Source organism: Homo sapiens, chromosome 11 (genome assembly GCF_000001405.40).
Source record: "Homo sapiens chromosome 11, GRCh38.p14 Primary Assembly".
Classification (NCBI taxonomy): domain Eukaryota; kingdom Metazoa; phylum Chordata; class Mammalia; order Primates; family Hominidae; genus Homo; species Homo sapiens.
In genome coordinates, this window is record NC_000011.10 from 66174456 (window position 1) to 66199239 (window position 24784).

General features: G+C 41.8%; 1 protein-coding gene and 1 long non-coding RNA gene across 4 annotated transcripts in view; both read left to right on the forward strand.

The window, feature by feature from the left end:
- Positions 1-24784, forward strand: part of PACS1 (phosphofurin acidic cluster sorting protein 1) — a 174473-nt gene that overhangs the window by 104184 nt on the left and 45505 nt on the right. For all 3 annotated transcript variants that reach the window (NM_018026.4, XM_011545164.3, XM_011545162.2), the window contains exon 2: positions 19031-19118. In NM_018026.4, coding sequence (NP_060496.2) covers positions 19031-19118 — 88 coding nt within the window. The remainder of the gene's footprint in view (positions 1-19030; positions 19119-24784) is intronic.
- On the forward strand, positions 9870-15781 carry LOC105369354 (uncharacterized). The gene is made up of 2 exons (XR_950219.2): positions 9870-11198; positions 15112-15781. It is a non-coding gene; the product is annotated as an uncharacterized LOC105369354 (long non-coding RNA).

The window sequence follows — 24784 nt, forward strand, 5'->3', positions numbered from 1 at the left end:
AACATTCAAAGACTTGTATGTTCATAACATCATTATTCATTAAAACTAAAAAGTGGAAACCACTCAAGTGTCCACCAACTTGTAAATGGATAAATAAATATTATTCACCAATAAAATGAATAAAATACTGATGCATGCTACAAATGGGTCAGTTTCAAAACATGTTAAATGAAAGAAGCCAGACATGTTGTATTGTCCCTTTTGTATGCAGTATCCAGAAAAGACAGACCTATAGAGATGGAGACATGATTGGCTTCCTGGGAGGGAATGGAAATAGGGATTAACTATAAATGGGCACAAGGGGTCGTATTTTGATGATGAAAATATCCTAGTACTGTATTGGGGTGATGGTTGCACTATCTAACAAATTTATTGAAGAGCATTGAATTGTACGTTTAAAATAGGTGAATTTTGGCCAGGGGCAGTGGCTCACACCTGTAATCCCATCACTTTGGGAGGCCTAGGCGGGTGGATCACCTGAGGTCAGGAGTTCAAGACCAGCCTCACCAACATGGTGAAATCCTGTCTCTACTAAAACTACAAAAATGAGCTGGGCGTGGTCGCAGACGCCTGTAATTCCAGCTACTCGGGAGGCTGAGGCAGGGTAATCGCTTGAACCCAGGAGGCAGAGGTTGCAGTGAGCCAAGATTGCACCATTGTATTGGTGCAACTGGTCTGCCTGGGCGACAGAGCAAAACTCTGTCTGAAAAAAAAAGAAAAAAAAATGGTGAATTTTATAATATGTAAATTAAACCAATACGGTTTTGTTTTTGTTTTGTTTTGTTTTGTTTTAAGTCGTCAGTCTGGGTGCTTCTGTCTTTTTCTCAGGCAGCTTTTAAGTCTTCTTTGTCTTTGGTATTCTACAGATTCACAGTAATATGTTTGATTGTGGATTCATTTTTCTTTACCCTCCCTTTGAATTTGTTGGGCTTTCTAAAATGTGACAGTGGGTGGCTTTGGTAAATTCTGGAAATTTTTTTGCCATTGGCCCTTTGAATAATGCCCCTCACCTGTTCTGTCTATTTCCTTGGAGACTCATTGCATCTAGATTAGATTTCAGCTCTAACTTCTCTGTTTTCTAGGTCTAACTTTTCTTTTACACTTTCACTGTCACTTTGCTACGTTTTGTGTAAGTTGTGATCTGTCTTCCACTGTACAAACTCCATCAGTCCCAGTGGCCTTTAGGGGACATGGAGTGTGCTTATCGCTTCCCATACATAGGTCACGGGCTTTACTTCTGGAGCCAGGGTGGTGTCACCTTCTCCAGGACCAAGTGGATTTCCACAAACCATGTTGGGGAGGGGTGTGAATGGCAATCACATATACTGATCATTCAACCCAGAAACCTGAGCGTCGTCTCTGATTTTTCCTTCTCTACTCTTGGCATCCTGTAGGTTGAAATATCACAGGGTTGATTCCGCTTTCTAAATGTTTCTCAGATTGAATTTTTTTCCTTTTGATCTCAGTGACCACATTCCAGGTTCAGGAATTCATCATTTCTCACCTGGACAGTTACAGTAACTTCCTAACTCTTCTTGTCTTTATACTCACCAGTTCCAATCTACTCCACACACTTTGACCAAAGTGGACTTTCCAAAAATATAGACATTATTTCCTTCATTTTTAAAAATTTCAACTTTTCTTTTAGATATAGTGGATACATGTGCAGATTTGTTGCATGGGAACATTGTGTGATGCAGAGTTTTGTAGTACAAATCCCGTCACCCAGGTAGTTATCATAGTACCCAATAGGTAGTGTTTTAAACAAACCACCCCACCTAGCTCCATCTCTGGTAGTCTGCAATGTCTGTTGTTCCCATATTTATGTACATTTGTGCTCAGTATTTAGCGCTCACTTATGTGAGAACATGCATTTTAGTTAAAGAGAGTATATCTGCATTTTAATGTTACTCCCCTGTCTAAAATCCTTTAATTTCTATGTCCCAGCATAAGATCCAGATTTTTTTTTTTTTTTGAGATGGAGTTTCACTCTTGTTGCCCAAGCTGGAGTGCAGTGGCGTGATCTCGGCTCACTGCAACGTCTGCCTCCTGAGTTCAAAGGATTCTCCTGCCTCAGCCTCCCGAATAGCTGGGTTTACAGGCATGTGCTACCACGCCTGGCTAATTTTTGTATTTTTTATAAAGATGGGGTTTCATCACGTTGGTCAGGCTGGTCTCAGACTCCTGATAGCAAGTGATCCGCCTGCCTCCGCCTCCCAAAATGCTGGGATTACATGCGTGAACCATCATGCCCGGTCCATATACACTCTTAATTTCCACCTACTTACCTGCTTTCTTAAAGAACCAGTTCTGTGGCTTTGAACATGATGTTCTCTCTGACTGGAATGATCTTCCCCCTCCCTGCCAGGTGAGCTCCGACTCATCCTTATTTTCTGTGAAGCCTCCTCTTACTCCCCAGGAAAGACGTCAGACACTCCTTTGCATTCCATAGTAACTTGCATATGTCTCAGGTAAAGCACTTATAAGTTAGGCTGTTGTTTGCATGCCATTCTCACTAGACTGAGGATGCTCTGAGGTCAGGGATCGTTCTTGATTTACTTAGCTCCATCCCTGTTCCTTCATTTGTCTTTTTCAACAGTGGCTGTCTATCCCAGGGCTACTGGTAGTTCTTTTTCAAGTCTGTTTTGGGCAATGCAAGGATAGCAAAAAGGAAAAGGAAGATTTCTTAGAAAGGGGAAAGGATCTCCAGGTTTAAAAATACTTTCAGAAATGTTCTGAGAGGAGAAATTTGTGTTAATTTTTGTGAGAGCATATTACTAAACAGCAGCCTCCTCTCCCCAAATTGAAAGTGGTGCATCCACCACCTCCCGGGTTCAAGCGATTCTCCTGCCTCAGCCTCCCAAGCAGCTGGGATTACACCATGCGCCACCATGCCTGGCTAATTTTGTATTTTTAGTAGAGACGGGGTTTCTCCATGTCGGTCAAGCTGGTCTCGAACTCCTGACCTCAGGTGATCTACCCGTCTTGGCCTCCCATAGTGCTGGGATTACAGGTGTGAGCCACTGCACCCGGCCAAAATAGATAATTTCTGTATTTCAGCTAGACTTTTCAGTTGTTCTTGGCAGGTGTGCTGATTTGCTGCACCTACTCTATCCTTCTATTAAAAGTCCACCTTCTCTTCCTGTAAGGTTTTTTTTGTTTTGTTTTGTTTTTGAGACTGGTCTTGCTCTGTCATCCAGGCCCAACTGTAATGGTGCGATCATAGCTCACTGTAGCCTTGACCTCCTGGGTTCAAGCAATCCTCCCATCTCAGCCCTGCAAGTAGCTGGGCCCACAGCTCTCACACCACCATGCCCAGCTAATTTTTAATTTTTTTTTGTAGACACGGGGTCTCACATTGCTGTCCAGGCTGCAGTAAGCATTTTAAGAGTGGGAACTTTGCGTATTTTGTATCAACATTTAGCACATTTGTATTTGTAGCATAATAGTATTTGTATTCAACAATTAGCACAATAGTCCATAATGGATGCTTAAGAAAAATGTAGTGAATTAATGCATCCAGGTGTCTAGGTTCCATTTTTAATATTTAGATCTGCTTCATCTTTTCCAGAGAGTTGAACCAATATGATATCTAGTTATATTAAATATCAAGTGTTTTACTAAGTATTGAGTAGATATATAGGAATATTTAGTATATATATCATGTAAAGAATCACATTACAACAAACACCCAATAACCTACCACCCAATTTAAGAAAATTAATTTAATTATCAGGAGTTCCTTGTATGACCTTTTTTCTCATTCCTTTCCCTTCTTCTCAGAAGTAACTGCTATCCTAAATTCTGTTGTTATCATTCCCTTGAGTGTTGCCTTCTTGAACAGTATATTGTTAGTGTTGCATGTTTTGAGCTTCATGTACATGGAACCGTACTGGATGTGTTCTATTTTCTTATTTCTGTGTATAGCAGTAATTCTTTCCTTTTCACTGCTATGTAGTATTCCATTGTATTACTACATGTGCATGCGTGTGTGATAGACATTCACAGTATTAAGCAGTTTTTTGATTTTTTGCTTTTTCCAAAGAGCAGTGCTAAAAAATTCTTGTTCCTGTTTTATGGTGGATTATATCTATCAGTATTTACTGTATTAAAATTGAAATAGAAATGTTTTAAATGTTTACTTAGTAACTCATTTAGAATAACAATTTAAAATAATAAAATTAAAATAAAAATGGATGTTTTTATGAAAAAACTGTTTTAAAACAAAAAAACAGAAGTGTGGCATTATTTTATATTTTTTTCAGATCTCTTTACTGTGTGGCTTAATAGAAAATAGCTAAGTTCTCACATCTCTTTCTGCATTCAATCTGTTACAGTATCAACAATAGTCAGAAACCTCACTATACTTGAGAGAGAATGAGGTTGAAATAGGAAATAAAATATATAATTATTTTGAAAATAGCTTTGACCTTGCACATCTTCTGAAAGGGTTTCAGGAACTCCCACAGGTCCCAGATCACACTATCACACTTAAAGAACCACTGCCCCAGGGTGTGTCCATTCTCCCCCTTTGCTGGTAAGGCCAGACCCCTCCAAAGTGAATGAATGTATTAAGTTGTCCCCTGCCACCCACCAGCAGTGTTTAATTGTTTTAGTCACTCTTATCACAGCACTTGATGTTGTCAGATTTATAATTTTTGCCAGTCTGGTAAAAATGAAATACTGTCTCCCTGTGGTTTGATTTGCATTTTCTTTGTTACTAATGAACTTAACCATCTTTTTATATTTTATTGACCACTTGCTCTCCTTTTCTGTTAAGTACCTATCCAGTATTTTTCAGCCATAACTCAAGTTTCATTCTACCTTGTAAAGTAATTTAAAATGTTTCTTTTTAAAGTACACATTCGAGGGTCAAATGGACTGTTCCCAGTTTTATTTAAGCAGTAATTTAAACATTAAGGAAAATGTTTAAGATTAAGAATATTGTTTAGACCTCGGGTGATCGGCCCGCCCCAGGCTTCCAAAGCTGGGATTACAGACGTGAGCCACTGTGCCAGGCCTAGAGGTTTCCTAGATTTCTTTGGGAGCTATTAACTGGCACTTTTGCAGGGGGAAACTTGTGTAATGTTTGGGTCAGTATAACATTCAGTATTAACATATATACCCATTCTAATCAGAGGAAATGTATCTTGACTTAAAAGGTTTCTGTTATCTCTTTGGACCTCAGTTTCCATCAGTAAACTGGAAATAGTACTTTCAGCTCCAGTACTCTGGGTTCTAATTGACTTTGTTTAATCTTTACTTCAGTTGTATAAAGGGGCTTGAAATTAACTTGAACCATAGGTACTTTTTCTTTAAGTGCCCTTTAACAGTTAATTGTGGCCCTCTGAATTCTGTTCAGCCTGTTCCTTTTGCTCTCATTGTTTGTTTGTTTATTTTTATGTATTTATTTTGAGACAGAGTCTCCCTCTTTTGCCCAGGCTGGAGTGCAGTGGCATGATCTCAGCTCACTGCAACCTCCGCCTGCCAGGTTCAAGTGATTCTCATGCCTTAGCCTCCTGAACAGCTAGGATTCACCACCACATCTGGCTAATTTTTGTATTTTAGTAGAGATGGGGTTTCACCATGTTGGCCAAGCTGGTCTCAAACTCCTGATCTCAGGTGATCCGCCTGCCTCAGCCTCCCAAAGTGCTGGGATTACAGGCATGAGCCACTGTGCCCAGCAGATTTTTTATATTTTAATTTGATATTATCTTGGCTGAGCACAAATGCTCCACTGCACTCCAGCCTGGGCAACAGTGAGAAACTTTGTCTCAAAAAAACAAAAAACAAGATATTAATGCTGCCACCAGCTTTTTTGGTTGATTCTCTTGAGATCCAATAATACACAGTCATACATTTACAAATAAGGATTGTATTGTCTCTTTCTTTCAGCTTTTTTTTTTGTGTGTGTGTGTGAAACGGAGTCTCACTCTGTTGCCAGGCTGGAGTGCAGTGGCGTGATCTCAGCTCACTGCAACCTCCCACTCCCTGATTCAAGCAATTCTCCTGCCTCAGCTTCCTGAGTAGCTGGGATTACAGGCACGCACCACCACGCCTAGCTAATTTTTGTATTTTTAGTAGAGACAGGGTTTCACCATGTTGGCCAAAATGGTCTCGATCTCCTGACCTCATGATCCGCCTACCTCAGCCTCCCAAAGTGCTGGAATTACAGGCGTGCGCCACCGCACCCAGCCTTATTTTTTTACTTACTTAATTTTGAGATAGGATGTTGCTCTCTCAACCAGGCTGGATTGCAGTGGTATGATCATAGCCCACTGCAGCCTTGACCTCCTGGGCTCAAGTGATCCTCCTACCTCAGCCTCCCTAGTAGCTGGGACTACAGGCATGAGCCACCATACTTAACAGATTTTTTAATTTTTTGTAGAAATGTGGTTTCACCATGTTGCCCAGGCTGGTCTCAAACCCCTGGGCTCAAGTGATCCACCCTCCTTGGCCTCCCAAAGTGCTGGGATTGCAGGTGTGAGCCACCATGCTCAGCCCTTTCAACCATTATCCCTTTTATTTCTAATTACTTCAGCCAGCTTTCCAGAGTTTTATGTAAGTAACACAGATAAGCCCTTCCTTATATTGTTCTTGTCTGCAGAAGGAATGTTCTGGTCTCTCATTGTTAATCCTGATGCTAATTATACACAAATATGTAGCTGTATATATTTATGGAAGGTATATATTTTTTAAATTATGTTAAGGAAGTATTTTTTCTGTTGCTTTTTTTTTTATTTTAATTTTAATTTTTTATTTTTTATTTTTTTTGAGATAGAGTCTCACTCTGTCTCCCAGGCTGGAGTGCAGTGTCGGGATCTCAGCTCACTGCAACCTCCACCTCCCAGGGTTCAAACGATTCTTCTGCCTCAGTCTCCTGAGTAGCTGGGATTACAGGTGTCCACCACCACACCCAGCTAATTTTTTTTATTTTCAGTAGAGACGGGATTTCACCATGTTGGCCAGGCTGGTCTTGAACTCCTGACCTCAGGTGATCCACCCACCTCAGCTTCCCAAAGTGCTGGGGTTATAGACGTAAGCCACCCCACCCGGCCCTATTGCTCTTTTAAAATTAGTAGTGTATGTTGAATTTTATTAAGTGCCTTTTTTAGCATCTAATAAAATAATTATGCTTATTTGTTCTTTTGAGCTTATTAATGTGATAATGTATTAAGTTTCTAATATTTCTTGTCTTAGGAGTCTCCCTTAGATATAATATATTTTTGTTTGATTAGTTCTTGCCCAAATTAGTTTTGGCTGGAACCTGGATGGTTTTTTGTTTGTTCTTTTTTTCCCCACACACCCTGGACAGTTTCTGTTTGTTTTTGTTCCTCCCACATACCTGCTTTACCTCAGTCACTGAGACACATGTACTAATGGGTTGTCATGAATGAAGAACTGGAATTTAAGTGACTAGGATTCGTCAAATGCTGATGACGTGTAAGGTTCTCTTTAGCAAAGTTTAAGGAAGGCAGTTCACCTTTTTGAGCACTTCTGTATGCCAGAGTCTATGCTAGGAACTTTTCACATTTGCTAGTTCACACAGCAATTCTATTTTATAGATGAGAAAGCTTACATTTAAGTCTCTTCTGCAATACTAGAGGAGCTACTTTGGACCTGAGACTTTTTGTATCTGGTTTTAATAAGCAAAAGTCCACACCCTACCTCTGAGGCCTGTTTCCCAATCCAGAAAATTATCATCAAGGAGATTGCAGAGAGAGATAGAAAATGTCATACATTGTGTTGGTCTGTGCAAGTAATTGGCATTCATAACCCAAAGATAAACATACCCTGAGTAACTGAAAATTTTCTTAGAATCTTATGTCCCTCTACTTCATAGAAAGCCACATCTTATGGCTATGGAGTAAAATATCCCTAAGGATGTTCCTTAGTTCTGTTTATTGTTTAGGCTTAAGTTTTTTCTCATTCGCTGATATTCTCCCATCTGAGTGATTTCAGGATGAAATTGCCCCATTCAAACATTTTCGGGAAGAAAATTTAGTTGCTTTGCTTTTTTTTTTTCTTGAGACATGGTCTTGCTGTCACCCAGGCTGGAGTACAGTTGCGTGATCATAGCTCACTGCAGTCTCATCTCCCAGGTTCATGTGAGCCTCTCACCTTAGCCTCCTGAGTAGCTGGAACTATAGGCATGTAGGCACATGGGCGCGTGTGCCACCACCCTGGGCTAGTATTTTTTAATGTTTTTATTTTTTGTAGAAACAAGGCCTCACTTATGTGCTCAGGCTGGTCTTGAACTCCTGAGCTCAAGCAATGCTCCTGCCTCAGCCCTCCAAAGTTCTGGGATTATAGGCATGGGGCACCATACCTGGTCTAGTTGCTTTGCTTTTGAAAAATCTGCTTTAAGGTTACTGGTTTAAAAATAATGCCTTAAGCTGGGTGTGGTTGCTCACACCTGTGATCCCAACACTTCAGGAGGTTGAGGCGGGCAGATCGCTTGAACTGGAGTTTGAGACCAGCCTGGGCAACATGGTGAAACCTCGTCTCTACTAAAAATACAAAAATTATCTGGGTGTGGTGGTGTGCACCTGTGGTCCCAGCTACTTGGGAGGCTGAGGTGGGAGAATCACATGAGCCCAGGAGATGGAGGCCGCAGTGAGCTGAGATCATCCCACTGCACTCCAGCCTGGGTGACAGAGTGAGACCCTGTCTCAAAAATAAATAGATAAATAAATAAATAATGCCTTAGTTCATTGTTTCACAATCAAAATTATGCTATTTCATATGAAATAATAGGTTCAGTATCTACATATATTTGGGTAACTTCTTCAGCAGTAAGAATATAGTGCTCAGAAATTTACTTGTTGGTGTTATTGAAGCTTGTTGAGACTTCCACAGGTGCCTGTAAAATAGAAACAATTTTAGAAATGTTTTTACTCTCACAAAGGAAAACCTTTTTCACAATTTTTTTCTCTTGGTTTACTCTTTATGTGAATAAATGCTGTTAAGGGAAGAGGCAGGGCTTATTCTTCCCATCTTCTGATTAAAGAACTCACACAGAGAGGAAAATGCCTTGCTCATATGACACAGCCATTTCTTGGTAGGACAAAGGAGTAATCCAGGTCACTTGTCTTCTGTTCCTTGCATTTATCTGCTCTGGTCACAAAGGGACCAGTGTAGGACAGGCAAGCCCCAGAATTGGGGCTTAGCCCAGGAAGGTTCTTTGCTTTGCTCAGGAAAGAATTCAAGAGTGAGCCAGTGGTAGAAGAAACCAGCTTTATTGAGGTGGCAGTGTTACAGCACCGTGACTGCTCTGCAGAGCAGGGATAGACCTGGTAGGCAGCCTCAAGAGCAGCACTCAGTGGCAGTTCTGCAGTCGTATTTATACCCACTCTTAATTACATGCAAATTAAGAGGCAGATTATTCAGAATTTTCTAGAAAAGGGGTGGTAACCTGCAGGTTGTTGCCATGGAAAGGAGTAGTGACATCTGGGTGTTGCCATGGCAATGGTAAACTAACATACACCAGTGGGTGTGTCTTAGGGAGTGGTGGTGTTGCCTCTTCTGTTACAGCCAGTCTTCAATCTGGTCCAGAGTTCTGCCTCCTACCTCACGACCATCATTTTGATTTGGGGTCTAACTAGTCAGGTTTTTATTTCATCCAGATCTTTGTTTCTCCTTTCTTCCCCTTTTTCTGTGCAAAATTTGACCACTTTGCTGTTTATTGATATCTTATTAGAAGGGTATTAGCCGGGTGGTAGTGGCATGCACCTGTAATCCCAGCTACTTGGGAGGCTGAGGCAGGAGAATCGCTTGAGCCTGAGAGGCGGAGGCTGCGGTGAGCCGAGATCGCACCACTGCACTCCAGTCTGGGTGACAGAGTGAGACCCTGTCTCAAAAAAAAAAAAAAAAAAAAAAAAAAGAGATGAGAGGGGAATGGAATATGACCATTTCTCTCTTAGTGAGCCTCTCAAGTTTGCATGAGAGTAGGTTAGAAACAGCTGTTAAATGCAAGTTGAGGATCATTTGTAGAAATTATTCAAGGCTGTTTCTCCTTTATCCTACAGTCACGTATAAACTAGAATTATTTAGAAGGTTTCAAAAGATTCTTGTCACTATATTTTGTTCTTTTCTGTACCCAGTTATCAAGTAGACAGCCTTATTCTTTCAGACTTAGTCTAATGAGAGCTAAATAATTTCTTGAGAGAATTTGCTTGTGCTCAAATATGTCCTCACTGAAGCCTTAGCCCAGTTACTCAGTGATCTCCTTTTGTGTAATTCAGAACTTAATTATGCACTGTCACGTTTGTTGGTTAATTGTTTGATATACTTAAATCCTGTCCTTTCAACTAGGTTATGAATTGCTCAAAAGCAGAGATTATGCCCATTTTTTTCTTTTTCAGCTCCTAGCACAGAGCTAAGTACAGAGAATATGTACAGTAAAAGGCTGATGGAGGTCTTTCTGGGAACACTCTATCAGCGGTACTCTGTCCTTCCTGCTGGTGGCAATGGGAATGTTCTCTGCAAGGGCTCACGAGGGCTTGCATGCCTATGAAGTGGAAGAGAAATGGCTTGAGGTGCAGGGAATGAGGGGACAGGCCAGGAACTCTCGGCCTAATTATAATAGCTATTGCCTCGCTGCTTTTATTGGACTGCTCTTATTGGAAGGAAATTGATCCCAAAGAGAGTCAAAGACAGGCTAAAACACTGAACTCATAAAAATATGAAAAGTAAGCGGTGAGAGCAGATCAAGGGACCAAGATTCGTTGTTTTGTTATTGTTTTATTAATGATGGTCTAGGACTTCCAAATGGAGTTTTAAAAGTTGAAAATAAATGACCTGTTACTAATATATTTTCAGAATGCCTATGTAGAGAGGAAGATTATTTCTCAGCTGAGTAACGTGGGATCCTCCTTTAAAAGTCCTTTGGACTCTAATCATCTTTGTAATACTCTGTTTTACTTTGAAGGCAGACTCAACTTCTTAGAGTTCCAGCACATTGAGCCCTGTTTGTCTCATCCATCTTTTCACTGACCTTCCAAAGGTGGACTGGCTGGAGAACCCCAGCTGTCCATTGTGTTTGAAATCCCTTTAAGTAGGGACTCGGCTAGAGGTGTTCTTCTGCCTGATCCCCAGATGAAAAGGACGGGAGGGGAGTGACAGAGGAGTCTTCAGCCAGCTGCCATATCCCCATGCCGGACCATGGAACCTGACTTCCAGCGCACTGTAGCAGAGAGGTAGCTAGAGAGCAGAAAGTAGAGATTTGGCTCTCCTAGGGATCTTGGAGAGAACTTTGTTATTTCAGCTTTTGAGATATCTTCTCTTCCTTCATAAGGATGAGACCCAGGGTTTCCTGATAGGGCACTGCCCTTTAAAATGGACTTTGGGAATAATTTGGCCAACTGGTTCTTTTTGAAAGTATTAATGTTTGGGGGTTGTAACTAAAGTCCTAACACCTTGGGAATCTGTTCCTGGTGAACATTACTTAAAGATAGGTTCACCTGCATACACAACAGAAAAACCACAAAGAAGAGGTTTCTTTCTTTCTCACGTAAAAATGAAAAAATCAGCTGGCAGCAGTGGCTCACACCTGTGATTTCAGCACTTTGGGAGGCCGAGGCAGGAGGATCGCTTGAGCCCAGGAGTTACAGACCAGCCTGGGCAGTGTAATGAGACCCCATCGCTGCAAAAAAAATTTTTTTTTTCTAATTAGCTGGGTGCGGTAGAATGCACCTGTAGTCTCAGCTACTTAGGAGGTTGAGATGGGAAGATTGCTTGAGTCCCAGAAGTTCAAGATTGCAGTGAGCTTTGATCATGCCATTGCATTCCAGTCTGGGTGACAGAGCAAGACCCTGTCTCTTAAAAAAAAAAAAAGCCACATCTTGCGTATGGTTTACAGAGGCCTGCATGTGAAGCAGCCCCACATAGGCTCCCTGGCCTTGCTGTTTCACAGGCAGACCAAGCATGCAGCCAGCTTAAGGCCTATGTACTTCTTCCCCTCAACCTAGAACTTCTCAAGGAGGCCCACCCTGGCCACCTAACTCAGAATTTCAGCCCTCCCCGCTCTCCTCTGCCTCTTGCTCGCAATACCTAGCTCTATTTTCACACAATCTGACCTACTACATAATTTACCTAATTATTATGTTTATTGCTTATTGACTGTGTCCTTTCACTAGAGTGTGAACTCAAGGACAAGACATTTTGTCTGCTTTGTTTACTGATGTATCACAAGTGACCAGAACAGCATGTGCCTCATTATAAGGCTGACAGATGAGTGACAGAGTAACGTGACAGAGCTGCAGTTCAAACCAGAGTGTATCTGACTCTACAGCCTTCATTCAGGCATTTTTTTTGTTTTAAATCAATGTGCAGATTGCATACAGTGGAGTGCATGGGTTTTGGATATAAGCCCTGTGGGTTTCTGCTGGTGTGTAGGCCCGTAACGTTGCCGTTGTTGGCCAGAGGGCTCCCTCATATCCCTTCCAATCAGTGCCTCCACCTGCCTTGGTCACTGTACTGGCATCACCACATGTTGGTCTTACCTGTTCTTGAACTTCACGTGGATGGTAAGACAGTACGTGGTCTTTTGGGTCTGGCTCTTCCGGCTCAGTGTAGTGGTTTTGAATCATCCATGTTGACACATGTATCATAGCTTGGTCTTTTTTGTGTACTACATTTTGTTTGTTCATTCTTCTGTTGGTGGGTGTGTTGTTTCCAGTATAGGACCATTGTGAGTGGAGCTGCTTTGAACCTTATTTTTTAATTTTTTATTTAATTTTAAAATTGACCGATCTTACATATTCATGGGGTACGTAGAGATGTTTTGATACATGCAATGTATGATGAACAGAACAGGGGGATTAGCATACCCATCATCTCAAACGCTGATCATTTCTTTGTGTTGAGAACATTGACTCTCCTCCTCCTAGCTATCTGTAATTAATATTATTATTAACTGTAGTCATCTTTCTGAACACTAGAGCTTATTCCTCCTATCTAGCTGTAATTTTGTACCCTTTAAGAAATCTCTCCATTTTCCTCCCTTTCCCCTGCTATTCTCAGCCTCTGGTATCATCTGTTCTACTTTTTACTTCTATGAGATTAACTTTTTTAGCTTCCATGTGTGAGTGAGATCATGCAGTGTTTTACTTTCTATTCCCAGCTTATTTCACTTAACACAATATTCTCAGTTCCATCCATGTTGCTGCAAATGACAGGATCTCACACTTTTTTATGGCTGAATAGTACTCCATGGTATGTGCACACCACATTTTCTTTATCTGTTCCTCTGTTGTCGGACCCCTAGGTTGATTCCTTCTCTTGGCTATTGTGAACGGTGCTCGGTAAACATGGGGGTCTGCATTGTCTCCCTGATACAATAATTTCCTTTCCTTTGAACCGATTCCCAGTAGTGGGATTGCTGGATCATGTGGTAGTTTTATTTGTAGTTTTTTGAAGGAACCTCCATGCTGTTCTCCATAGTGGCTGCACTAGTTCACATTCACTAGTTACAACAGTGTAGAAGAGTTCGCTTTTCTCTGCATCCTCTCCAGCATTTGTTATTTTTTGTCTTTTTGATAGTAGCCAGCCCAACTGGGGAATATGATACCTCATTGTGGTTTCGATTTGCGTTTCCCTGATGATTAGGGATGTTGAATTTTTTTTTTATATGTTCGTTGGCTATTTGTATGTTTTCTTTTGAGAAATGTCTGTTCAGATCGTTTGGCGATTTTTTTAATCGGATTTTTTTTTTTTTTTTTTGGCCGTTGAGATATTTCAGTTCTTTGTATATTCTGGGTATTAATCCCCCCATCAGATGAGTAGTTTACAAATATTTTGTCTTATTCTTTTCACTCTGTAGATTGTTTCCTTTGCTGTGCAGAAGCTTTGAACGTTCTTGTACCTGTCTTGTTGTGGTGTGCCTTCCTTTCTCTTGGGTTCCCTTGGGAGCTGGTTATAGGAGTAGACACACACAAACACACACACATATATGTAAAATCTAATCAACTACCAAATGGTTTTCTCGAGTAACTGTACCATTTTCCACTGTCCCCAGCCATGAGTGTAAGTTCTGGTTACCCTACATCTTCACCAGCACTTGGAATTATCAGCCTTTATAATTTTGCTGTAAAATTATTTTCTGCTGTAGAAAAACCAATTAAAGCAGGAGTGTCATCAGGGAAAGACTCTTCTCTTCAGGCCTTGTATCCTACATTTTCACTGCATGAGAAGCGCCCACCAGTGAAACACAGGGTAGCAGGAAACCTGGGGTGGGCAGCTAACTAACCCAGCTTCCTAATCACTGAGACTACTTCGTTACAATGTCTTGCCAGACACAGTCAGCATGAGTCATCCTCACAACTATATCTAGGAGTCTTTCCATCAAATGTGTGCAAATGCGGGTTTATGGAGAAATTTATCTTACTTCCTTAGTGTTCTCTGTTATATTAAGGTATATGTTAAAAAGTTCATTTATAATTAAAATAATTCTTCTAATTTGCTAATAAAATGCTTTATACCAACTTCAATTGGTCTCTGGACTGTGATAGGCCTAAGTGTGCATCATGTCTTGACTACTTCCTATGTGACCTGGGGACATTTTCTTAACTTCCAGCATCCGTATCTGTAAAATAGGTATAATACCCACCTCTTAGCATTACTGTGAAACTTAAAAGAGATAATGAAATGCATGTCAGGCAACTAGTACCTGATAGATACTGAATGAGGGATAAACATTTTCTTGTACTTTGAAGAATTAGAATACATTTGAGTCCCCAAGTACCCTTGAGTCATGCCATTGAAAACAAACAAAAAAAAATCCTGTTGAACTGATTGCCACAGGTTTCAAAATCAGTGTGTTGTGTGGCATTTCTGTGAAAACATGGAACATATCCAGTCTTGCTGTTGCTTTACCTAAGGTACTAAATCTTTCTTGGCCATCTTGTTAACATGAGGTGCCGTGGCATAAAGGTCTGTCTTGTCTATTTATTCAACAAATATTTATTGGTCTGTGATGTTTTTTCCTCCTAACATAATTCTGCCATATTATCCTATGATGTTTTATATGTTATGTAAGAGCCTTCTGGGGCATAATAGAGCAGCAGCACAGAACGTAACGTGATTGTTTGCTTTTCCCGCTGCGCTGTGTAGCCCACATCCTTCTACAACTCCAACAACTGGTTCAGTACCAGGCGCAGAGTGAATGTTCTCTAAATGTGGGCAGTGTTGATGAGTGAAGAATCTTAAGCAGAGAAGAAACTCATGTCCCTGACTGACTCCTGTGAGACGTTTATCTTGCAGTGAGTTTATTCAGCAGCCACAAATCAATTTGAAGGTGGAAAATGTTTGCTTTGAAAACAAGGAAAAACCTAACCCATCAGAAGCGTTCATGATTAGCAGTCTGCAAAAGTTGATCATACACATTGAGTTATCCTCGTCATACCCAACCAAAACAGAGCCGAGAAACTAGGGGAAAGGCACTCAAGGCATTGCTCCAGAAATGGAATTCTCTGCAAACCTGGCTGCTGAAACTGCCTGCTATAACCTGAAACCTGTTTTATCTGATGTCTACTGTGACGACGTGCTGCAGCTCTAAGACTAGCTTTGCCCACCACTCTCACTCACCTATCAGAGATTGCCAGTTTCCCAAAACCTTTCTTGTGCCGATGAACTTTCTCAAAGAGCAATAGTAACATTTCTCTTTTTTATAAAACATCTAAGCTTCTCTTTGTTCTTTGGACATACTGAAGACTACCTGATCTACAGGTATGCTCCCAATTGCAGCAGTTTTTTTCTTCTCAAATAAAACATTTGAATTTCAGAGATTTGTTTCTATTTTATTTGATTTTGGCAAGCCTCAGATGAGGACGAACGTTGGGCATATTCAGTCTTTTCCATTGGCTCATCCCAGTCATGTCCCATTTCATTTTGAGCCATCATTTTTTGCCTTGATGAAGGCACAAAATTCAGTTAAACAATGTACGTAGTTAACTACATTTGTTTTTGTTTGTTTGTTTGTTTGTTTTTTGAGATGGAGTCTCCCTCTGTCACCCAGGCTGGAGTGCAATGGCGCAATCTTGGCTCACTGCAGCCTCCACCTCCCGGGTTCAAGCGATTCTCCTGCCTCAGCCTCCCACATTTCTTTTTATTTTTAAGAGAATGGGATCTTTCTATGTTGCCCAGGCTGGCCTCGAACTACTGGGCTCAAGCAGTCCTCCCACCTCAGCCTCCTGAGTAGCTGGGACTGCAGGAGTTAACTACATTTCTGAATAGCCATTTGTGAACTGTAATAATCCCTTTGATATCAGTAGAACCAGAGTTCCCTGTGGGACAGCACATCTCTGCTCTGAAGGGAAGGGAGAAACAGGCGGTACTGTGGGCAGTCATTGAAGGGGGGATTTTGGAGGAAACAGCATGAACCCAGATGGCTCCAGAGCAACAGATGTCAGGAGAGTGTTTTAGGACATCAGAGTTGAGGGCACCCAGGTCACAGGCTGAGGAGGCGGTGACGTGATGGGGAAGGGCCAGGCCCTGGGATGAGGGGTGGTTCACTTCCTACTGCTGCTGTGACGAGTGGCCACAAACTTCGTGACTTCACACAACACACGTTTATTATCTTGCATTTCTGCAGGTCAGAAGTCCAAAATAGGTTTCACTGGGCAGCACGGAAGGTGTGGACAGGGTGGTGCTCCTTCTGGAGGCTGCAAGGAAGGACTGTTTTCTTGCCTTTTCCTGCTTCTTGAGGCTGCATATTCCTTGGCTCCTGACCCCCTCCCTCCATCTTCAAGGCCATCAGCCATATCTCCAGTCCCTGCTTCCTCCTTTGACTCTTTCCTCCCTGGCCCCCTCTTTTAAAGGCTCTTGTGATCATATTGGGTCCACCCAGATAATCCAGGATAATCTCCCCATCTCAGGAGCCTTAACTTAATCACATCTGCACAGTCCCTTTTGCCATGGGACTTTGCCAAGGTACCATATTCACAGGTTTTGGGGATTAGGAGATGACATCTGGGTGGTGGGGGCTGGGTATTTGGTCCACCACAAAGAGATTAGTTAGAATCCAGCTCTGTCATTTACTGGCTGTAAGTGAATTTGGGCAGGTCACTACTCCACTTGAAATGTTTTTCTGTTGCATGCGTAGAACAGTGAGCCCCCCAACACACATCCACACAGTCCTGTTTTTGAGGTCTAGGTAAAATGATATAGATGAAGAGACCTGATAAGCTTTCATACATTTTATTTGATTTTGATTCTAGCTTAAAGCAAAGAAAGAGATTTATTTGTTTTTCTTTGTGTTAGTCAGCAGATCTTTGAAAGTACTTGGGTGACTGGGCGTGGTGGCTCACGCCTGTAATCCTAGCACTTTGCCAGGCCGAGGCAGGCGGATCACCTGAGGTCAGGAGTTCGAGACCAGCCTGGCCAACATGGTGAAACCGGTCTCTACTAAAAATACAAAAATTAGCCAGACATGATAGTGGGTGCCTGTAATCCCAGCTACCCAGGAGGCTGAGGCAGCAGAATTGCTGGAACACGGGAGGTGGAGGCTGCAGTGAGCCAAAATCATGCCACTGCACTCCAGCCTGGGAGACAGAGTGAGACTCTGTCTCAAAAAAAAAAGAAAGAAAGTTCTTGAGTGAGGTTAATTCAAAACCAGAATTTAGTTCTGTTGACCTGGATTTGTCCTCCTTTAAAAAAAAAACAAAACATGAATTATATTAATTTCTTCACATACTCTTGTTAATCTGATTTTAGCTAGAAGCCATTTTAGGAAACTTAATGTAACAAATATTTGCTGAGCAACTATATACTGTGCCCAGCATTTGGGCAGATGTTGGGGAGAGAGCGGTGGAGAGGCAAGCCTGCTGCCTGCCCGCCGGAAGTTACACTCCAGTGGCATGATAGGAATTGTGCTGGGGACACATCACAGACTTTGCAAGGCATCGGGGGAAGTTCTCCTGGCAAAAATGCATAACCCAAGGCTGAGGAGGCGTTAGGTGGCAGGGTGGTGCCAACAGAAGGAACAGCAGCCTCCAAAGGCCCTGAGGCGAGAGAGGGTGGCACTGCCACGGAGCCAAAGGAAAGTTAGTGTGGCTGGAGCTGAGGGAGGGCTGTGGAGATGCAAGACAGGGGCCTGAGCAGGGCCTAGAGGGCCTCAGCACGGAGGAAAAAAGAGGTATGAAATCCAGCCGGATTCTCTGGACTTGTCATGACTCTGGTAAGCAACATCCCTCATGTGTACCGTTCCCCAGAACCTCTCCCAGGAGAAGAATGTGTAAAGACTTTGACCACCCAGGCAGCCATAGAAAGGCAGCTTCCAGAGTCTCCCTCCCACTCCTGCTGGAAGTCCAGGGTGGCCCTGCTGTGGTAAGGCCAAGGTAAAGTCAGAGCAGAGTTACTGAGACTCCACAGTGAGGGACAATCCTGTCACTTTTGAGTTGCGGGGAATTTCTTGATTTGTGGCACTGAAGATTTTCTGCATATTTGGAGCAAAATGCAGCTGAAATAGAATTTGTGACCATTTAACTATTTCCTGCCAAATGATGTATGTTTTGTTTGTGTGGATTATCTCCTCTTGCTAAAGATTTACATCTGTACATCTGTCAGGTGTGATCAGGTGGAAAGTAGAAGAGGAACTGTGTGATTCTCCTCCCTTGGTCTCCTCTTCCCCCTCAGAAATGGCTCCAACATACTAGGCATGGAGAATATTTTGCCTTTGGCTTGAGATGAATGATATCCATGGAAGTTCATGCAATAATGTACCTTTTGACACTTAACTTTAGAAGCTGGGCATGGTGGCATGTGCCTGTGGTCCCAGCTACTCAGGAGGCCAAGACGGGGAGGATCCTTGGGCCCAGGGCTCCAGTCTGGGCAACATAGTGAGACCCATCTCTTAAAAGTATAAACATTAAGTAAGAGGGGATGCTCTTCTACTGAGAGAGGGGACCCCTGGGACTGAGGACAGCGTTCTCACATTCTTACTTCAGGTAAGGCAGATTGCCTAACCAATTGTTCATCACTTTTCTCGCAAGTTCCTCGCATATGACAGCATCTTCCTTCTCTGTTTTTCTAGGCTATTCAGCTTGACCCTGAAGAAACTCGTCATGCTAAAAGAAATGGACAAAGATCTTAACTCAGTGGTCATCGCTGTGAAGCTGCAGGTGAGTGGGGCAGGACTGTTTGTTCAGGGCCCAGGGAAGCTGGATAACCATTTGCCCACTGCTGCGGCTTCAGAAACACTACTGGGACCACCTCTGTCTTCCTCCTCTCAGCACAGCAAGGTGCACAGTGGAAAGATAACAGAGCTCACAGGACCTTCTGAGCCCAGCTCTGCCTCTTGGTTAGGGCACTCAGTTTCTTCAAACCTATCTTTGTCTGAAGAACAGAAATGGTTTTTCCTACACATACTGTGAGGATCAAGTGATATAGATCCTAAAGTGTTTATTGTAAACTACTCAGAAATTACTAGGCTGGCTAGCTTTGGTTTCAGTCTTAGTCCCAGGATTGCTAGATCCAGGTAGATGCACGGGTATGGGAAGCACTTTGGAGGTTTTCTTTTATTTTCTTTTGAGACAGAGTCTCGCTCTGTCACCCAGGCTGGAGTGCAGTGGCGCGATCTCGGCTCACTGCAAGCTCCGCCTCCCGGGTTCACGCCATTCTCCTGCCTCAGCCTCCCTTGTAGTTGGGACTACAGGCGCCTGCCACCACGCCCGGCTAATTTTTTTGTATTTTTAGTAGAGACAGGGTTTCACTGTGTTAGCCAGGATGGTCTCGATCTCATGACCTCATGATCCGCTTGCCTCAGCCTCCCAAAGTGCTGGGATTACAGGCGTGAGCCACCGCGCCCAGCCTGCACTTCAGAGGTTTTCTATAGGGTGGAAGAAACTTACAGATTGTTATTTCAGACTTGGCAATTTAAAGTTTACTGGGATATTTTATCTCTATATAAATCCCACTTATAACTCCTTACATTTGGTATATTCAAGGGACCCAAAATATTTCACAAACATTTGTATTCTTAAGTATTCCTGAATTTAAGGAAAAGAGAAGGGAAAAGCTGAATTATAGAAGGGCTCAGGAATTTACCTGTTGCCAGCTAATTACCAAGCGACAGAACTTGGACCAGAAACTAAAGAGTGGGTAATTTGTGTGCTCATTAAATCCCATCACCAGACCTCCCTTAACTGATTAATCCTTTCTGCTGATGACTCCCTGGAGTAGAGTGAGATTCTGCAGTGCCTCTGGAGTCACTAAATAATGACTGGAGTCTTCAGCTTAAGGATGGTGTATTTACTGAATTCTTATTCATTGAAAAATAGCAAACTGTATGATAACTCCCTACTAACCAGAATATTTTATTAGCTAGTTCACCTACTATGCTGCAGTTTATTGTACTATATCACCTTCATTAAAATCCACTTCTATATCACTCTCAGTGTGTGAATCATATATTGAGGTGCCTCGGCCTCTTTCTGGGATAAAGACGTTAGTCCCAAATACATAATTTAGTTCTCAAAACTTAAAATGTTGGGCCGGGCACTGTGGCTCACACCTGTAATCCCAGCACTTTGGGAGGCTGAGGTGGTGGATCACTCAAGGTCAGGAGTTCGAGACCAGCCTGGCCAACATGGTGAAACCCCATCTCTACTAAAAATACAAAAATTAGCCAGGCGTGCATGTAGTTCCAGCTACTCAGGGGGCTGAGGCAGGAGAATTGCTTGAGCCTGGGAGGGAGAGGTTGCAGTGAGCTGAGATTGTGCCACTGCACTCCAGCCTGGGTGACAGAATGAGACTCCATCTCAAAACAACAACAACAAAAACTTAAAATGTTTTAATTACTCATGAATTCCTGTGTGTCCCACCTTATATTCTAATTCCCTGTTCATTTTATGCATAATTCCTTCCAAATCTATGAAATGTTCCCAGACACTGTGTTGGGAAAGCAAGTGTGGGACAGCAATGTGAACTATTAGTGTCTTGTCCTCCTCTCCCGATTTTGGTCCCCATTTCTAGGTCACAGGCAGTGTTCCCGTTTTCAGGAATTGCTTCCTTTGCTAAAGAATGTTGCTGTCCTGTGCCGACACCATTGGGGTGGTTTTGAAAGTTCCCCACTGCGTTTGCCATCCCTGCAGCTAAATGCTTTTGCCAAAGAAATAATTTATTTCCTGATTAAATATTTAAGATTCTATAATTCTAAATTATACCAAAACTACAAATATTTTGAATTTTTAAATTGTTCTACTTCCAAGCAGCTGAAAGTAATTACAGATGTCACCACATTCATTTATTCAGTCACTTATTTATGCATTCATATAATAAATACTTATTGAGCATCTATTATGTGCCAAACATTGTTCTAGGCACAGGGGATACAGCAGTGATCAAAACAGACAAAAATCCCTGCCTTTAAGAAGCGTTGAGCAGTAATTCCCCAAAGGAGATCTGCAGACCCTGAGGTCTCTAAGACACTTCCAGGGGGTACAGGAGGCCACAACTATTTTCATGATAATACTGTGGCATTATTTGCCTTTTTCAGCATGTTGACTTTTGCACTGAAAGTACAAGAGCAACAGTGGATAAAGCTGCTGGTGCCTCAGCACAAATGCCCCCAATGTCCCAGAGGTCATTGTGTTGTTTACCATCTCATGAGTGAAATAAGAAGATAAAAGGGCTGGGCACAGTGGCACACCCCTGTAGTCCCAGCTACTTAAGAGGCTGGGGCATGCGGGTCACTTGAGCCTAGGAGCTGGCTGGAATGAGCTGTTTGTGCCAGTGCACTCCAGCCTGGGTGACAGAGCAAGACTCCGACCCAAACAAGGGAGAGAAAGCCAGTTTTGCTTAAGAATGTTCTTAAGAAAGCAGTAAAACGTGTTAATTTATTATATCTCAACCTTGAGTCTGCATCTTTTTCATATTTTGTGTGATGAGATGGGACGTGTACACTGAGCACTTCTGCCTTGCAGCAAAGTTCGATGTCTGTCTCTAAGACTAGAGCCTGTGTGAGGTGGAGCTACTGAGTTGTGAACCACAGTAGCTGCTTTTTTCATGAACACCATTTTTACTTCAAAGAGGGACTTCCAGACAAACAGGTTATTTAGACTCAGGTATTTGGAAGGTGTTTCCTTAAAATTGAACAGAGTTACCCTATCAATTCAGGGAAAACAACTTAATATTGGTTGCCAATGATAAATAAAATTTGACCTTTTTTTTTGTTTGAGACAGAGTCTCGCCCTGTTATTCAATGGCGTGATCTCGGCTCACTGCAATCTCCATCTCCTGGGTTCAAGTGATTCTCCTGCGTCAGCCTCCTGAGTAGCTGGGACTACAGGCACCCACCACCATGCCTGGCTAATTTGTGTATTTTTAGTAGAGACGGGGTTTTACCATGTTGGCCAGGTTGGTCTCGAACCCCTGACCTCAGGTAATCTGCCCACCTTGGCCTCCCAAAGTGCTGGGATTACAGGCATGAGCTACCACACCTGGCCAAAATTTGAGCTTTTAAGTAAAAATTAGAATTTTGGAAAACTTGCTTCTGTCACTGAAAGCTTAACAGCTTCCCAGTTCTTAAAGACTTTTCTGAAGAAGTCAGAAGTGATATTAAACATTTTTAGTTTTTTATATTGTATAATATGTAACATTTGAATATTTTCTAAATGACTAATGCATGAGTTTACAAAATCATGCTGGATAAAAGATCCTTTCAAAGAACAAAATAGACCAGTGGATTGGGTTTTTAACTTTCTATTTTAAAATACTTTTAAATGTATCCAAGAGATGCAGGGTTAGTCTAAAGAGTTCCTGTATACCCCACCCAGCTTCTCCCAACACTAATATCTCTCTTAACCATGGTACATTTATCAAAACTAAGAAATTATCATTGGTATGATACTATTAATTAAATTCGACTTCAGATTTCCTAGTTTTTTCATTAACGTTCTTTTTCTGTTAATTGGATTTTAACATATAAGAGCACAAAAGTCTTATTGATATTATTTAAAATTCTACTTTGGAAAAAAAATTTTTACTTTGCAACTAATCTTTAGGAAACTACCACTTAGAGAGTTAATGGTGTAGTATCAAAGGAAAATAGTCCACAACTGGCTGGTCACAATGGCTCATACCTGTAATCCCAGCACTTTAGGAGGCCAAGGTGAGAGGATTGTTCAAGCCCAAGAGTTCAAGACCATCCTGGGCAACACAGCAAGACCCCATCTTTACCAAAAATAAAAACTATCTGGGCATGGTGGCATATGCCTGCAGTCCCAGCTATTTGGGAGGCTGAGGCAGGAGGATTGCCTAAGCCCAGGAGTTCAAGTTTACAATGAGTTATGATCACACCACTGCACTCTACCCTGGGCAACAGAACGAGACCTTGTCTCTAAAAATAAAAAATAAAAAATAAATAAAAAATTCCACAGTTGTCTGAAAAGGCTGTTAAAATGCTCCTCTGTTTTCCAACTGTATATCACTTTGCGTCTGGATTTTTTTCATATACTCAACCAAAGTAATGTTTTGCAACACATTGAGTCCAAAATAGGAATGAGAATCTAGTTGTTTTCTATTAAGTCATTCATTAAAAAGATTTACAGAAATGTAAAACTATGCCATCTCCCTCATACACTGCTGTTGGGAATGTAAAATAATGCAGCCACTGTGTTGTTTTGTTTTGCTTTTGTTTTTATTTTAGAGACAAGGTCTTGCTGTGTTGCCCAGGCTGCTCTCAAACTCCTGGCCTCAAGCAATCCTCTCGCCTTGACCTCCCAGTGCTGGGATTATAGGCTTGTGCCACCATGCCCGGTTCTCAAAAGGTTAAAGACTGAGTAACCATATGACTTAGCAATTCTACTCCTAGGTATGTCCACAAGAGAAATGAAAACACACAAAATCTAACATGCAAATGTTCATAACAGAATTATTCACGAGCTAAAAAGTAGAAACAATCCAAGTCCATCAACTGATCAATGGATAAATAAAATGTGGTCTAGTCATACAGCTTCGGAATACTATTTGGCAATAAAAAAGAATGAAGTACCTCCATGCTCCAGGTGGATGAACCTTGAAAACATGATGCTAAGTGAAAGAAGCAAGACACAAAAAACCACATATTGTATGATTCCATTTATATGAAATAGGCAGATCCCTAGGGTCAGGAAATAGATTGTAGTTGCCAGGGGTTAGGGGTGGGGGTGGGCAGACTGCAGAGGGTGATAATTAAAGAATATGAGGTTTCTTTGTTGAATGATGAGAATGTTCTGACACTGACTGTGGTGATGGTTGCACAGCGCTGAACATAGTGAAAGCCATTGAATTGTACACTTTAAATGGGTGAATTGTGTGGTATTTGAATTATATCCCAGTAAAGCTGTAATTTTTTTAAAAAACTATGTCTTCTCACTAAATTATTTTTGTTTGGGGAACATATATTTTTCATTTTAAAACTTTGTATGTAAACACATAATAGGTTTATTGTTAATTTTAAATGGATTAATAAATATTTTAAAATATCTGTTTTAATTCATAATATGGTGACTATTGATAGATAAACCTACATAAACAAAATATTGATAGATATACCTACATACACAAAAGCTATTTGGGATTCTTTCTAAAAGTGTAAAAAGGGCCGGGCGTGGTGGCTCACGCCTATAATCCCAGGACTTTGGGAGGCCAAGGCAGGTGGATCATGAGGTCAGGAGATCGAGACCATCCTGGCTAACATGGTGAAACCCCATCTCTACTAATAATACAAAAAATTAGCCAAGCGTGGTGGCGGGCACCTGTAGTCCCAGCTACTTGGGAGGCTAAGGCAGGAGAATGGCGTGAACCC